Consider the following 17,061-nt stretch of genomic DNA (forward strand, 5'->3'; position numbering starts at 1 on the left):
TACATCATCTAGCATTTGAACAGCTATAAAGTTTGTTTGTGAAAACTCAGACTTGTAAAGGGGGGTGGGGGAAACAGACTTTGGATTATTCCTATTATACTTTGGAAGTATTTTGGCTTCCCTCTATCAATGTGTTTTACACTTAACATTACCCAAAAAAAACAAAACAGAACTTTGAGAGGTTATGATTCACATGTGAGGAAAGCCTTTCTAAAATGCTGATACCTTGAGTTTTAAAAATTCTTGGATTTTTTTTTTTTAAGGTTTGTGGAGTGTTTACAAAAGGCGGATAATTTGGGGCCCAGTTGATCATATGCCAGTGTAAGGATTCTTCTCAATTACATGTAAACATATTCAGAATCTATCAAAAATGTGCCTAGGGCTGTGAAATGGTATCTGTTTCTCTGATTTCCTGGTAATATTTGTATTACTTGAGATCACCTATGCTGACTCATTTAGTAGATCTTTGAGGTTTATGTGCGGGTAAAATTAGGAGGGCACCCTTAAAGGCTCTGAATGTTAGAAACGGTGCTATGAATTTGTGAGTGTCCAAAATCTTTTATTGTTGCAGAATTTTCTGGTTTAGGACAACATTGTTTACAATCCATTAATTAGCTGGAACTCAGGAACCTTTTTGGTATGAAGTAATTTCCTGTGCCAAGGAATTTGACCTGTTTATCAGTATTTGGGGAAGTTCCTGGAATGTCCGTCCTTCCTTCTTTGCCCTCCCTCACTGCTGTATCTCTTTGTCACATTTCTTCTCTTCCTTCAAATCATAGTTCCCACACTGCCTGTCATACTGGGTTATCCTGATTGGAATTACTCTTCCCAAAAAGTATGCACAGTGTTTTACTTTTTCTTTATTATCAGGTACGTCATTTGTCCTTTTCCCCTGAATTAGTGGGTATATTGACCAAAAAAAAAAACAAAACAAAACAAAACAAAAAAACTTTGCTTGGCTACACTGTAGTCATGCTCCTGAACTTTCTCCTAGGTCTGTGTGTGTGTGTGCGCACACATTTTCTTGTAAAATCCAGGTTTAGCTAAGAAGCATGCTACTAAGTTTAGCAAGAACGCCTCCCCACCCCCACCCAAATCTGATTAGATTCCTCATCCTCCACCATCTTCCAGGTGACATCTGGTCACCCTGACCTGTCTTTAACAAGAATTGCCTTCCTACCCCTGATGTTGCCTCTTAGTAATTTTTCATGCACCGATACCTACCCTGTTCCTTGGCTATAAATTCCCACTTCCCCATGCGGTATTTGGAGTTGAGCTCAATCAACTCTTTCCCTAACTGCAAAATCCTACTGCATTGGTCCCTATATGTGTTAAGATGGTCCTGAATAAAGTCTGCCCTACTATGCTTTTAAAAGTATCACTGAGTAGTTTTTTCTTCTTAAAAACATTATGTGCTTCCTCTGTCTGATGCTTGAGGACAAACAAGATGTCTTATACCTCATCTCTATATAATAGATAATAGAGATAATTCAGAAACTATCGATATTTTTAAGGGATCTCTGTTGAAGGTAATGCCAAGTGCAGAGATTTGACCTTTTGTACAATTTGCCTACCTATAGTCTGTGCTACTGCAAATGAATTAATGTTGCTTGGGCCTTAGGACTGGGGAAAACCTGAGAGACTTCAGGGAAGACTGCATGTCAGATATAATTTTATTCACAAATTCAGTGTTTTAGTGGGACTTTAGGTGGGATTGAATGGCATGGCAAGCCTGGAGAGTGTGGCTACCCAGAAAGGTTTCATGGAGGTTACAGGCATGGAGGCAGAAGAATCCCTGATGAAGCCATGTCTCCTTATATGTGTGTGGACCACATTAGTTTTTGTCTTTTTTCAAGAAAATATCCTCAAGTTTTTCTCCATAGGAATGAAATTTATTTTTGCTAAATTCTTTGCAAGGCCTTAGAATAGAAGGTTAATAGTTCTGAAACATACAAGCTTCTGGTGGATTTGGGATGTTCTCTCTATTAGATGTTTTTGGTCCAAATGATAATTAAATAAACTAAGCAGATACATCTCTAACGGAGCAGTGCTTGTTCACTGCCCAAATTTGTACAGCAAATTAGTGTCTCACAGTGGTAATTTGGCTTCATTATCTTGGTAATTTTAATTGGAAAAGTTTAGGGCAGAGATGCTGTTTAAAAATGGCAGTGACTCAATACATCAAATGATGAACAGTATTTTTTTTCAGTGTCTAACACAGATTTCTGCTTAAACCATTTTGTTGGTAAAAGTATCCAGAGCTCTAATGTTCTACCTGCCTGGTTTTAATAATTTAAAAAAAAAACTGACATATGGTTGTGAATGTGTACTGGATTTAAAAAGACTCATCTATTTTAAAAGCTAGCACTGTTGCTGCTAATGATAGAGTCAATACAGTGTGTCTGCAGCACCCAGAGGTATGGAGCCACTCCCCTCCTCTCCTTCCACGCTGGCCCCACAGTGGGTCATGCTCCAGGGTCGTGCCATCATTCAGACATGTGCTCCGAAACTACCTTGATGACTTTTGTTCTGATTTGTAAGATGCCCCCCACCCCTGCCAATTCCTCTCTTGTTCAAGGTTAAAAAACAAAAACAAAAAAACCAAACTTGTTTCAGTTGTTTGTATAGAAACTCTTCACTAATTGATGCTAATCCAGAAACTGTTAGGGACTGGAACAATTATTCTTGCAAGGATCAAATACTACAAACCCCTGTAAGAAGACACTCTGAACAACACAGCCTGTAATAATAAAAATATGTATGTTAATACAATTGATGATTACTTCCTGGATCTTGGGAACTGTGGGCCAGAGATAATTTAATTAACCTTGCAATAATGTGACCCTGCATGTTACATGATTGAGTTTCTTACTTTCCACTCATATTGAGGTTATTATTTTTATTTACTCTTCTGCCACCTTCCTCCATTTATTTGGTTTTTTTTTTCATTGTTAGAAGATTGTTTTCTGAGTATTGTTTCAAAACTTTTGTTTTTAATGGTAAATATATTTTCTGTTAATGAAAACAAGGACCAGCATCCATTAAAGTAGTTCTGTGGCAGTTGCAAGTCTTTTTGGATTAAGAATTCATCAATATTTGTAATGTGTGCTGCTGTTTTCCAGAGAAGAGAAAAGCTCATTTCCTGTGATTTATTAGTAATATCATTAGATACTTTATAAAGTATCTGCATTTATTTTCCCAGATCACTCTGGGCCCATTATCAAACAATCAAAACATCATGAATGAATGAGAAGCAACCCTTTGAAATGCTGTGATGGAGTAAGACAGCAGATGGTGACAAGTGGGCGATACTGCCCTACTCCTTGTATGGAGACACTGGAGAGTGCCGGCCACTTCCGCTTCTGCCGATTCCAGTTCCAGTTCTGTCTCACAGTGGACATAGCTGATGTAGCAGTTTTGAAAACTTCTCTGCCTGTTTTGTTAAGGGAAAAACCACTAAATTGACAGGCTGTGGAGTAGAAGCCATATTGTCTCTTTGATTCTTGGACCATGAGTTAATGTCTGCGAAGGCACTCCCTCCCCCAACCCGCAAGTATTTCTTGTAGAAAATCTGGAAATCCCATCGAAAAAGAACTACTGTGAACATCTTTTCTTCTAGTCTTTTGAAAAAAATCTGCTCCACCTAAACCTGAGACCACATTATGTAACCCTCTTGTGTGCTGCTTGTGTCACTTAAGTTTTTTTTATTTGTTTTGAGACAAGGTCTTGCTGTGTCACCCAGGCTGGAGTGCAGTGGTGCTATCAAGGCTCACTGTAGCCTCAACCTCCTGGGCTCAAGCGATCCTTCCACCTCAGCCTCAAGTAGCTGGGACCACAGGCATGCACCACCATGCCCAGCTAATTTAATTCTTTGCTTTTTTCTTTTTTTTCCTAGAGATGAGGTTTTTGCCATGTTGCCTAGTTTGGTCTTGAACTCCTGGCCTCAAGTGATTCTCCCAACTTGGCCTCCCAAAGTGCTGGGATTACAGGCATGAGCCACTGCACCCAGCTCTTGCTTAATATTTTATCACGAGCAATTTCCAGTTTACTTGAAGAGTTTGATATTTGTTGTCCATTGTTTCATTATTTTATAATTGATTTTTAAACATTTCTGATTGTTGGATATTTGCTTTTTTTTTTTTTTTTTTTTTTTTGAGATGGAGTCTCGCTCTATTGCCCAGGCTGGAGTGCAGTGGTGTGATCTGGGCTCACTGCAAGCTCCGCCTCCCAGGTTCACGCCATTCTCCTGCTTCAGCCTTCCGAGTAGCTGGGACTACAGGCACCCACCACCACGCCTGGCTAATTTTTTGTATTTTTAGTAGAGACAGGGTTTCACCGTGTTAGCCAGGATGGTCTCGATCTCCTGATCCCACGATCCGCCCACCTTGGCCTCCCAGAGTGCTGGGATTACAGGCATGAGCCACCCCTCCCAGCCAGATACTTACTTTTTAAAAAAATTTTTAGCATGTTATAATGTTTTCGCTATTCCTGGTGTGAATATTTTTTAATTATGGTGAAATACATATAACAAAATTGACCATCTTAACCATTTAAGTGTACAGTTCAGTGGTAATTACACTCACGTTGTTGTACAACCCATCTTTAGAACTTCCAACAGGAATACTTTTGTCCAGTGATATTTACAAACATCTCTGATATCTCCTTGGGGTAGCAGGTTCCCAGCAGTGGAATTATTGAACTAAATGGCCTGCATTTATAAAGAGTCTTGATACATAGTGCCCACTTCCTTTCCAGAAAGGCTGTATTGATTTCATATTCCCCCCAGCATTCTTTGAGTGGCTGCTTTTTGAAATTCACATCTTCTGGGAACAGCTTAAATGGATGGTGCTTTGTGCGGCCTAACTGTGGACTACTGACAATTTTAAGAGGCTGAGACGTCATTCTGTAGCTGCCTTCTTTAGAACTTCCCTTCTGTCTGCACTTCTCAGGCAATTTTCATTTTCTTTCTTTGCATGAGACTGTGTCGGGAATTATGACAGCTGAGTCAGATCAAGTTCATGGTCAGAAAAACATTCAGTTGGCTCCCAGTTTCAGCCGCCTGGTGCGGATCCTAGAGATCATGGAGGTTCACAGGCATGTTGGAGTTGGAGAGGCCTCCAGAGCACATCCTGTCCAGGCCTCTTTGCAGATGTGCAAGCAAAGACCCCTTGGTCATTAGGGAACTTGTCCAAAATTCATACAAGTTATTGGTAGACCCTGATCCTCCATGCTGTCCCCAGCGTCTTCTCTTATGTCAGCCAGCCTGTGCCGATGTTCTGCCTGTACGTTGTTGGCTTGTGAGCTGTAAATAATGTGAGTGTGTTCTGATTTCATAGAAGGTGTGGGCAGGAGGAGGGCATGGGCTTAAAGCCTCACATGGATCCATGAGGCTGCTTCTTGGAGGGTGAAGAATAACACAGGACATGCACAGCCCCATTTCTCCTTGTAGAGCCAGCTGGTTCTAGTCCTTGCTTCCACTGCTGAGTGGTTGGGACCACAGTTGACATCTAACCTTCAGAAAGGATAGTTCCTCCTGCTGAGGTGAATAGGAGAGCATTCTTTGTTTCCTCCTGGAAACTTGTTATATGATGGCCTCCTTACTGCGTGCCCAGCTGTGAACGTGACGCACAGATTTTCTGTTGTACTTGAACATGTGTTCATACATAGAACCAGTGTGCATGCATTTGCTCCACTTCAAGTCCATTTATTCCCCTGCCAATGAGTCCTGGTTCACCTGTATACAATTTGGCTATACTCTGGAGTCAGACCAGGAATTTTAAAGGGTACTGATGATGCCCAGCTCCTACGTTCAGAGACTCAGATTAAATGCATATGAAGTATGGTCTGGACATTGGGATTTTTAAAAAGGCTTCCTCGGTGATTCTAATATGTAACAAAGTTTGAGAATTACTGATAAAGAATATGTGATTATCTCATATAATTGCTTTTTCATGAGGACAAATATATGTGTATATATTTGTTTTGAGACAAGGTCTTGCTGTGTCACCCAGGCTGGAGTGCAGTGGTGCTATCAAGGCTCACTGTAGCCTCAACCTCCTGGGCTCAAGCGATCCTTCCACCTCAGCCTCAAGTAGCTGGGACCACAGGCATGCACCACCATGCCCAGCTAATTTAATTCTTTGCTTTTTTCTTTTTTTTCCTAGAGATGAGGTTTTTGCCATGTTGCCTAGTTTGGTCTTGAACTCCTGGCCTCAAGTGATTCTCCCAACTTGGCCTCCCAAAGTGCTGGGATTACAGGCATGAGCCACTGCACCCAGCTCTTGCTTAATATTTTATCACGAGCAATTTCCAGTTTACTTGAAGAGTTTGATATTTGTTGTCCATTGTTTCAGTATCTTATAATTGATTTTTAAACATTTCTGATTGTTGGATATTTGCTTTTTTTTTTTTTTTTTTTTTTTTTTTTTTTGAGATGGAGTCTCGCTCTATTGCCCAGGCTGGAGTGCAGTGGTGTGATCTGGGCTCACTGCAAGCTCCGCCTCCCAGGTTCACGCCATTCTCCTGCTTCAGCCTTCCGAGTAGCTGGGACTACAGGCGCCCACCACCACGCCTGGCTAATTTTTTGTATTTTTAGTAGAGACGGGGTTTCACCGTGTTAGCCAGGATGGTCTCGATCTCCTGATCCCATGATCCGCCCACCTCGGCCTCCCAGAGTGCTGGGATTACAGGCATGAGCCACCCCGCCCGGCCAGATACTTACTTTTTAAAAAAATTAGCATGTTATAATTTGTTTTCGCTATTCCTGGTGTGAATATTTTTAATTATGGTGAAATACATATAACAAAATTGACCATCTTAACCATTTAAGTGTACAGTTCAGTGGTAATTACACTCACGTTGTTGTACAACCCATCTTTAGAACTTCCAACAGGAATACTTTTGTCCAGTGATATTTACAAACATCTCTGATATCTCCTTGGGGTAGCAGGTTCCCAGCAGTGGAATTACAAAAAGAAGTACAAAATAATGAAAGTATTGAGTCCCTCTATACCCCGCAAAAGACAACCACTTTTGATGGTCGCTCCTGCTTTGTTTCTATAGTACGTAACCAACAGTAACACATTTGCCCATTCCCCCAGCATTGGACAGGTAAGAGGTCCCCTGTTTTCTGCTAAAAAATAACATTCTTGTATATTAAGATTTAAAGGCATCTCTGATATTTTTATCAGACTATGAAAGTGAGTTTACTGGGCCAAAACTTACTTGTTTAACATTGTAGATGAATTATTATATTCTTAATGGCCATTGGTAACTTTTTCTTTTGGAAATTCTTTGTGATAGTTGTCCTTTATTCTACTAGGACAATATGTGTTTCTTATTGATTTAGCACAGCTTCATTGTTTTAAGGGTATCAGTCATGTATGTTTAAAAAAAAAAAACTGTTTCTGGTTCGTTTTCCATCTAATTAGGTTACAGTGTTTTATGACGCACAGAAGTTTTTCATTTTCTCCAGTCAAATTTATGTATTTTTCCATTGTGATTTATTCCATTGCATTTTTTTAAAAAACAGCTTTATTGAGATATAATTTACATACCACATAATTCACCCATTTAAAGTTTACAGTTCGATGTTCTTTTTGTAGCATTTTCACAGGGTTGTGCAACCATCCCCACAGTCTTAATTTTAGAACATTGTTATCTCCTCCTCAAAGAAACCAAAGCAAAAAAACCCCATACCCGTTACTAGTCATTTCACATTCCGCCCTGCCCTTACTCTTCACTCCCTACTTCCTAGCCCCTGGTAACCACGAGTCTACTTTATGTCTCTTGATTTGCTTATTCTGGTCATTCCATTAAAATGGAATCATAATATGTGGTATTTTGTGACTGGCTTCTTTTATGGAGCATCGTGTTGTCTAGGTTCATCCAAGTTGTGGCATGTATCAGTACTGCATTCAGTAAAATATTGTTTGGTAATAAAATAGAATGAAGTACTCCTACATGCCACTCGTTTTGTTTATCCAGTCTTCCATTGGTGGGTATTTTGTTGTTTCCACATTGGCTATTTATTATATATAAAGCTGCAATCAGCTTTTGTGTCTGCATTTTTATATGGACATATATTTTTCCCTTGGGTATATACCTAGTGAAATTGTTGAATCATATGGTAGTTCCGTAAAACCTTCTTAAGTTGCCGCCAAATTATTTTTTAAGTGGCTGTACTATTTTATATCACTACCAGCTGAGTATGAGGTTTCCAATTGCTTCATATCCTTGCCAATGCTTGTATTGTCTTTTTTATTATAGCCATTCTAGAGAATGTGAACTGATATCTCATTGTAGGTTTATTAAGTTGTGAAAATTGTTTTTATATTCTGAATACAGATTCCTTATGAGATAAATGATTTACAAGTATTTTCTTCCATTCTGAGGATTGTCTTTTTTACTTTGATTTTATTGGTGGCTTTTTTGTTTTTTGTTTGTTTGTTTGTTTGTTTTTGAGACGGAGTCTCGCTCTGTCTCGCCCAGGCTGGTGTGCAATGGTGCTATCTCGGCTCATTGCAGCTTCCACCTCCTGGGTTCAAGCGATTCTCCTGTCTCAGCCTCCTGAGTAGCTGGGACTAAATGCATGTGCCACCATGCCCAGCTAATTTTGTATTTTTAGTAGAGAGGGCATTTCACCATGTTTGCCAGGCTGGTCTCGAACTCCAGACATCAGGTGATTCACCTGCCTCAGCTTTCCAAAGTGCTGGGATTACAGGCGTGAGCCACCATGCCCAGCCGCTTACAGTGTTTCAAGTACAGCAGTTCTAAATTTTGACAAGGTTTTAAATTTATTATTAGTCTGTCTTTTTGATGTCATGTCCTAGTAACCGTTGCCTAATCCAAGGTCATAAAGATACATATCCCTGTTTTCCCCTAACAGTTTTGACTCTTACATTTAGTCCTGTGATCCATTTTGAGTTCATTTTCTTGTGTGATGTGAAGTAGGGACCAACTTCATTCTCTTTCACGTGGATACCAGTTGTCCTGGCACCATTTACTGAAAAGACTGTTCTTTCCCCACTGAATTGTCTTCTCTTGACCAAATCATTGTTGTGCCTTCACCCAGCCCTATTGTTCCTCTTCCCCCATTGCTCATCCTCTGGAAATTCCTATGCCTAGGTCAGAACCTTCTCCTTAGGAGTTGACCGTGGGTATGGCTTGCATCTCTTGCTTGGTCCAGCCTTTCTCTGTGCCTCTCCTTTTCTCTAGGTGAGAAGTAATATCCTTTTGCTCCGAGCATCTGTAGCACTGTGTCTCCTTTTTGCTCTGCATAACCCTTTATTTCGCGTCTCTGCCCTGACATTCTGTGACATTCTCTGTAAGGACTGCTGTCTTGTCTTTGTTGACATCTTGTCATTCCCCCTTGGGAGCACTGAAAACAGGATCCAATTGTATCTTCAGAATCCAATCACTTTCTTTATCCTGGTGATGGAGCATAGGTAAGTAACTGTTAAAACCAATAGGATTTTAGTATTTCCATGCCCATCAGTTCCATGTGATTGGTTGAAAATACTAATGGACGCATAGGCAATTTTAAATGTAACAGTCCTTTACATTTAGAAAGCTGGGAATGTACCTTTCCCCATATCCAGAGAAAAGTGACGCTTTAGGTCCAGCCTCCCTCTTAGGGCTTTTCTGTCCAGGCGCTGAGCAAAAGGGAGTGTGTCTTCAACTGGGTTTGTCAGTAGCCACTCAGCCTTGCTTTCCTCCACTCCTGTCTCTCTCCCATTTTCACGCTTTGGCATTTTTTGCTGCCCGTTTCCCGCCGCCTGCAGTTAATGATGACTGGGTTTTATCCAGTCACACTTTACAGCAGTGTCAGCTGCACCCTGTGGTGGTGTCAGATGGCGGCTGGAACAAACCCAGTACCATGCTCAGAAATGAATGTTTTCACCTCAGAGAAAATAGATGAGGGCAGGGGCCTTGGTGGTGGAGATCTTTTTCATCATTTCTGATTTACAGAGAAACAGAAGTCACAGGAGCCCATGCAGGTGATTATATCTAGTGCTAATGAGCACTAGTGTAAAGCAGAAATAAACAGGAAAGAAAACCTGATATTCCAGCTCGACTCATCAGGTTTGCTGTGACAGGACTGCGCGTGCGTCTGCGTCTGTTGGCAGGGGTGGCTGGCTGCCTCCAGGCAGAGGGGCAGCCAGGGTTGTGCCAAGTGGAGGTGGGAAACTAAGATGAACACAGAGTGGTGATTTCTAGAAGGGAGAGCCCAGTGGGAACCAGAGTGCCTTACAAAAGGGAAACTGGTACCTTTGGGAAAAACTTCATTATTAGGGTCTGGAGCACTGAAACCAGAAAGCCTTGCCTGGGGTGGGGCCTATCGAGATAGTTAACTGTGCCATGCAGGGAGCCCCTTTTCTGGACAAGGGCTCTGAGAAGTATAATTTAGGAAACACTCTTCAAAGGAGATGTGATTTTCTTGTTACTTCCACCACCAACAAAGTCCTCTTTATTGGTCACAGGTCCTGAGTACAGCTAATGAGCTGACCTTTCGAAGAGGCTAGGAGAGTAAGTTCACCACCCTAAATCCAGAACTGGTGAGACTGCAGTTCAGCTAATGAGATGTGAAGGGTCCTGACAGATGCAGGCTGTCTCTGTCTGCCCCAGTCATGAGTGTGTCTGTCTGCCCCAGTCATGGGCAGGTGGACGCAGCTGGATTCATGTCCCGGCTCTGTAGGCTTGAGCAGGCCATAGGTGTTTCTTCCTCTGAAACATGGGGTAATAATGGGGCTTCTAAGATGTTATGGACTGCATGTTTATGTCCCCCCAAAATTGATGTTGAAACTGTAACCTCTAATTAGGATGCTATGAAGAGATGGGGCCTTTGGGAGGTGATTAAGTTTTGAAATCAGGAGGGTGGAACCTCCATGATGGGATTAATGCCCTTATATAAGAAGAGGAAGGTACTAGAGCTCTTTCTGTTAGCCATGTGAGAATACGGTAGTTCTTCCTTATCTGTGGTTTCAGTTACCTGCAGTCAACTGTGGTTCAAAAATATTACATGAGAAATTCTTGAAATAATTGATAAGTCATAAATTGCATGCCATTCTGAGTAGCATGCTGAAATCCAGCTCTTTCCAGCCCAGGACAGGAATCTTCCCTTGGCCCAGTGTCCATGTGCTGCACACGCTACCCTCCTGTTAATCACTCAGTAGCCCTCTCAGTTGTCAGGCTGACTGTCACAGTATCACACCACATGTATTCAAGTCAACCTTATTTTACTTAACTGTGGCCCCAAAGCACAAGAGTGGTGACGCTGGCAATTTGGAAATGCCAAGGAGAAGCTGTAAAGTGCTTCCTTTAAGTGGAAAGGCAAAAGTTCTTGACTTAATAAAGAAAAAACATTGTATGCTGAGGTTGCTAAGATCTATAGTAAGAATGAATCTTCCATGAAATTATGACAAAGGAAAAAGAAATTCATGGTAGTTTTGCTGTCATACCTCAAACTGCATAAGTTACTGCCACTGTGTGTGATAAATTCTTAGTTAAGATGAAAAAGGCATTCCATTTATGGGTTGAAGACAAGAACAGAAAATGAGTTCCATTTGTTGGCAACATGTTGCCAAGAGAAAGCGTTGAGACTATGGAGAAAATTCTGCAAGAGAGGTCCCCTGAAATGAGTGACACAAAGCCATTTAGTGCAAGCGAAGGATATATGTATAGGAAAAAGCATAGTGTGTATACAGGGTTCAGTACTATCCTCAGTTTCCACTGGAGGCCTTGGTATATATCCTCTGCAGATAAGGAGGCACTGCTGTACAGTGAGTAGGCACTGTCCTCAGACACTGGTTCTGCTGGTTCCTTGATCTGGGACTTCCCAGCCTCCAAACTGAGAAATAAATTGTTGTTTAAGCCACCCAATCTATGTTTGGTTTTGTTTCTTTAAATTTTTTGAAAAAGATGGGGTTTCACCATGTTGCACAGGCTGGTCTTGAACTCCTGGGCTAAAGCAATCCTTCTGCCTCAGCCTCCCAAAGTGCTGGGATTACAGGTGTGTGCCATGGCACCCAGCCTTCTGTGGTATGTGAAAAGTAGCAGCCTGAACTAAGACATAGGACAAGTGAAATTTAAACAAGATGTAGACTGTAAAGTGTAGGGTCGTGGTGGTTGCAATTTCCATGTCACCATCTTCCCTGGAGCCCATCTTCAGCTTCCCTCGTGTGACTTGGTCGCCATGAATGGATTCCCATAGTATCTGTCCCCTTGATTGTTTATCCTCAGTCAAATGCCCTCCAGTGGGATTCCACCCTCTGGTCTGTGTTTTCTGGCAAGCATGTGTCGTCTTGACATGCAGCACAGCCCTCCTTCGGGGCTTTGTTCCCTGGGAATAGGACATGAAAGTGGAACACAGTGGGTTCCACTTCTAGCCCTGCTGCCAGCTTCTTGGATTATTCATCTTTTCCTGGTTTGCACATGATTTGTGTGAAGTGATTAAAATGTTATGTATGTAGAATTACCCTATACAGGAAGCCAGCTCTTAGAACTGGTGATGTGAGTATAAAGGTCTAAGAAAGCAATGGTTCTTGGCAGAAAAGAGAAACACAGGTAAAGCAAAAAGGCAGGATGCCTGGTGGTGCCCTGCCTGGGTAATTTGTGAAGCTGCCATGTGCACACTATGGAAATGAGAGCCTGTGATTCATGAAGCTGATGGAGAGTATAAATGCTGCAAGGTGGTCCAGGTTTGCTCTCCAAGCAATGAGAACAAAACTCCGGTTGAAACTGAGCACATAGCTACATACTGTTCAAAGCTGTGCAACACAGCAGAGAAACACAGGTGCTCCTTACACAGGTAAGTGATAAAGTCAGCACTTGAGGCAGAAGCCTTTGTGTCAGGTTACCCTTGAACATCCCTCAGATGGCTTAAATGCCATCTGCAGACATGCTGTCTCTTGATGGCACAGCCGTTGTTCTGCCATTTAAACAGATTGTTGTTTATTTGGACGAGCACCAGATGAAGTAGATAGCTTGTACTCAGGATTACACTGTACCAGAAACACATACCTGGTACACCAGAATCCCGTATAGGAGGGGCACGTGGGGCTGAGACGGGCTGAGGGACCAGCAGATGAGTCTGCACCACAGTTGGCAGTGCTGCCTCCTCCTCTTAGAGTGCACACAATGGAATGCAAGTGAGGTCATTGTGCCCTGGTCACAACTGCACCATGATGCCAGATGGAGGCGTCCTCTGAGAACACAGCGAGTATTATGGAGGCTTCTATCTTGGGCTGTTTGAAGTTTGTTTGATGTTTCACCAGGACTTTGGATGTAACACTTGGATATTGAAGGTCTTTGGTAATCACAGAAAAATATATGCCCATTGTACGCCTTGTAGAGTCTAGTGTTAACATTTGATACAGAAATTGTATGTCTTGAAGTGAGACGTACAAACTAGAATCTCCTGTTGTGTCAGTCAGAAAGAGATTGTGGACTACAGCTCTTCAGTGAAAATTCAGTAGGGATTTCTTTTCTTGAAAGTATTTTTACAAAATAATTCACTTTTTTCAGTTATACAGTTGCTATTAGAGCAGATATGTGCACTCAGAGTTGAATGAATGTGTATGCACTCATATGTACATTAAAATTTGAATGTAGGCATGCAAAATATTCTCAGTAAGTTTTTTGGGTTTTTTTGTTGGTTTGTTTTTTGTTTTTGTTTTGTTTTTGAGACAGAGTCTCACTCTGCTGCCCAGGCTGGAGTGCCGTGGTGTGATCTCATCTTGCTCGGCTCACTGCAACCTCCCCCTCACAGGTGCAAGTGATTCTCCTGCTTCACCCTCCCAAGTAGCTGGGACTATGGGCAGATTCCACCACATGCAGCTAATTTTCGTATTTTTAGGAGAGACAGGATTTCACCATGTTGCCCAGGCTGGTGTCAAACTCCTGACCTCAGGTGATCTGCACGCCTCGGCCTCACAAAGTGCTGAGATTACAGGCGTGAGCCACTGCACCCAGCCTTTTTTTTTTTTTTTTTTCTCGTTTTCCTAAGAGACAGGTTCTTGCTTTGTCGCTCAGCTGGAGTGCAATGGCACAATCACAGCTCACTGCATCCTTGAACTCCTGGGCTCCTGGGTGTAAGCAGTCCTCCCACCTGGGTCTCCTGAGTAGCTAGGACTACAGGCACATGCCACCATGGCCGGGTAATTTTTTTATCTTGCATTTTTATAGAGATAGGGTTCTGCTGTGTTGCCAGGCTGCTCTCAAACTCCTAGCCTCAAGCTATCCCCCAGCCTTGGCCTCCCAAAGGGCTGGGATTACAGGTGTAAGCCACCACACCCAGCCAGTATTTTTTTTTTTTAAGGTTGTGAAGTTTAAGCAGATTTTTTTCTTTTTAAACTTATGGCATTTTTTAAAAAAATTTTTTTGAGACAGGGTCTTGCTGTGTCACCCAGGCTGGGGAATCTCGGCTCATTGCAACCTCTTCCTCCTGGGCTTAATCGATCCTCCCACCTCAGCCTCCCAAGTAGCTGGGACTACAAGCATGTGTCACTACGCGTGGCTAATTTTTGTATTTTTAGTAGAGAAGGGTTTTCTCTGCCTCACCCTGTTGCCTTCAGCCATATTGCCCAGGCTGGTCTTGAACTCCTGGACTTGAGCAATCTTCCCTCCTTGGCCTCCCAAAGTGCTGGGATTATGGGCATGAGAAGTTTAAGCAAATCTTAGCTGCATTAGATGATTTTAGTATATTGTCCCTTTTACTGCCTCCTAAACAGAAAAATTCTACCCAGGATATTGTATTGTAGGAGGACAGACAGACCTGGGGTCAATCCCAAGTCCTTGTTCTTAGTGGCTCTGTTTCCTTAGAAGAGTACTAAATTAATGTCTCTAATAGTTGGTTTCCTCATTGAGAAAGGAGAATAACCTACCTACCATATGGGTCTTTGAGAGGATTGGAAGGAATGTAAAGTGCCTGGCTCCTAGAATATGTTGGAAGAATGCTGCCCTTGCCATGTTCCATCAAACTGGTCCTGACATCTGAGATTGGGGTAAATCGCCCCTTCTGCCTTTTATTGTCCTCTCTCCTGTATCATCCTCTTTTGCCTTTAGTCTGTTTCTCTCACCTGGAGAATAGAGAAGGCACCACTCCTTCAGTGGAGGACTCTTGAAATCTAATTGCTTGCCAGGCACAGCAGTGCACTTGTAATCCCGATTACTGGGGAAGCAGAGGCTGGAGTATAACTTGAGCCAAGGAGTTTGTGATAAGCCTGGGCAGCATAGTGAGACTCCAGTCTCTTAAAAATTTTTTGAACAAAAAAATCTAATTGCTGACATTTGGACTTGGGTTAGCAAATATTGTTGAAACCATGAAAACCAAATTATTCATCATTGGGATCTGAGTTTTTGAATTGTGGGCACGGCTCTGTGGATGAGCTGACCCATCTACAGCTTCTGTGGGAAGGGTCTTGCCAGATACTTAATTGGTTTTCATTTCCTGAAGTGTGTGTTGCTTCCAGCCAAATGCTTTATGCTTATTTATTCTTAGTCCTATTGTAGCTTTTATTAAAAGTGATAAAGATCAGTGAGAGCACAAGGAACCAAGTTTTAGAGGAGTGTGAAAAGCAGTTCACAAGACAACGAGCTGATACCAAAGATTATGGGGACTGAAGGTAGGGAGCCAACCAAGCACCCAACTGTCCTCCTGAGGGGAGGACAGATGTGGCCTGGCTGTAAAGAGATGCCTTGCAGGGGCCACCTGAGTCCCATAAGATTGTCAGGAAGAAATGATATCAGTGGCCAGGTCAAGGAGCTATCCATTAGTTTCTGAGGATGTAATATTTACTAATATTTACTTGGTTTTAGGTTTTACTGTACAGTTAATTTTTTCTTATAGTTTGTGGTATTTTAACAGGCAAGCAGGTGCTTTTAAGGTGGGGGGAAACATCTTAACTGTAGCCTGAAATCTTGACTTACTGACAGTGTTGCTAGTAGAGTAGTGTGTGATACCCAGAAAGGAAAAAATAAACCTGTTGAGTTCAACATGTTTCCCCGAAATGAGCAAGAAACATATATCAGACTGCTTAAGAGAATCCCATTTTTATTTGCATTTTGACACTCTTTTATTATTTTTATGGTATACTTTTCCTGTTTCTTCCTTTCAACCTGGAAATTATTAGTTTGTGTGCCCTTTGGGCTTTAAAATAAAGTTCATTTTATTCTGTGGTCATCTCAAGAGCTCTTACTCCCCCAGTTCTCCTGGACTTGTTTTGGTGAGAGCCTGTTCCAGGATCCCTTTCATTGTAAGAGGACATTGTATGGGTGGATATGATGACTTTTGGTGGTGATCTTTATTTTTGCAAATGGCCTCAGAGGCACTCTGAGTTATTCAGTCTTTCACGCAGTGATTTCATGAGCTTCCATAAACATTTGTTTTATACCAGTTTATTGAGCACCAGCCATGTGTTGGGCTCTGGACTAGAGATGTGGTGGATATAAAGGTAAATAAATACTTGGCTCTAAGCTCTGGGGACCTCCCAGTTTGGCAAGAGATGACAACAGTGAAGACATTGAGGTGTCTACAAAGTGTTGTGACCTCACGGAGAAGAGCGAGACTCTCCTTTCGGAAGCTGGTAAGGGTGTGTGTGTGTGTGTGTGTGTGTGTATGTGTGTCCGTGTGTGTGTGTGTCATTGGAGGAGCCAGGTGTTTTATTTTGGCAGTGATGTCCTATGACAGAGTTAAGCAGAAGAGGGATGAAATAAATAGATTTGGTTTCTAGGACGGTAACTGTTTCACACAGGCCTCCTTGGGGTTGAGACTGGGACTCCTTGAGTCAAATGCAGTATAGTGGCTTAACTCTGCAGGGGAATGTGCAGTGTGGTGGAGGTTGATTTGAAAAAGTTTTAGGAAAAAGAATCTTTAGGTTGTGGTGACCTGTTTGTACATGAGAATTAGGGAAGGAAGAAAGTGCAGAAGGAAAGTACTCAAGGCAGGGGCTTCCTAGTCCTTTTAATCTCATGGCACATATAGGAGATTTTTGTACAGCAAATGGAATCAATGAACTGTCCCTCGGGCACTGCCCCAGACTCTGCCCAACGGTCCGGAGAGCT

The 17,061-nt window shown here is 42.1% G+C and overlaps 1 protein-coding gene across 37 annotated transcripts in view; it reads left to right on the top strand.

The window, feature by feature from the left end:
• Nucleotides 1–17,061, top strand: part of TANC1 (tetratricopeptide repeat, ankyrin repeat and coiled-coil containing 1) — a 264,020-nt gene that overhangs the window by 129,943 nt on the left and 117,016 nt on the right. The window lies entirely within an intron of this gene.

The sequence above is a fragment of the Homo sapiens genome, chromosome 2, assembly GCF_000001405.40.
Source record: "Homo sapiens chromosome 2, GRCh38.p14 Primary Assembly".
Lineage (NCBI taxonomy): Eukaryota > Metazoa > Chordata > Mammalia > Primates > Hominidae > Homo > Homo sapiens.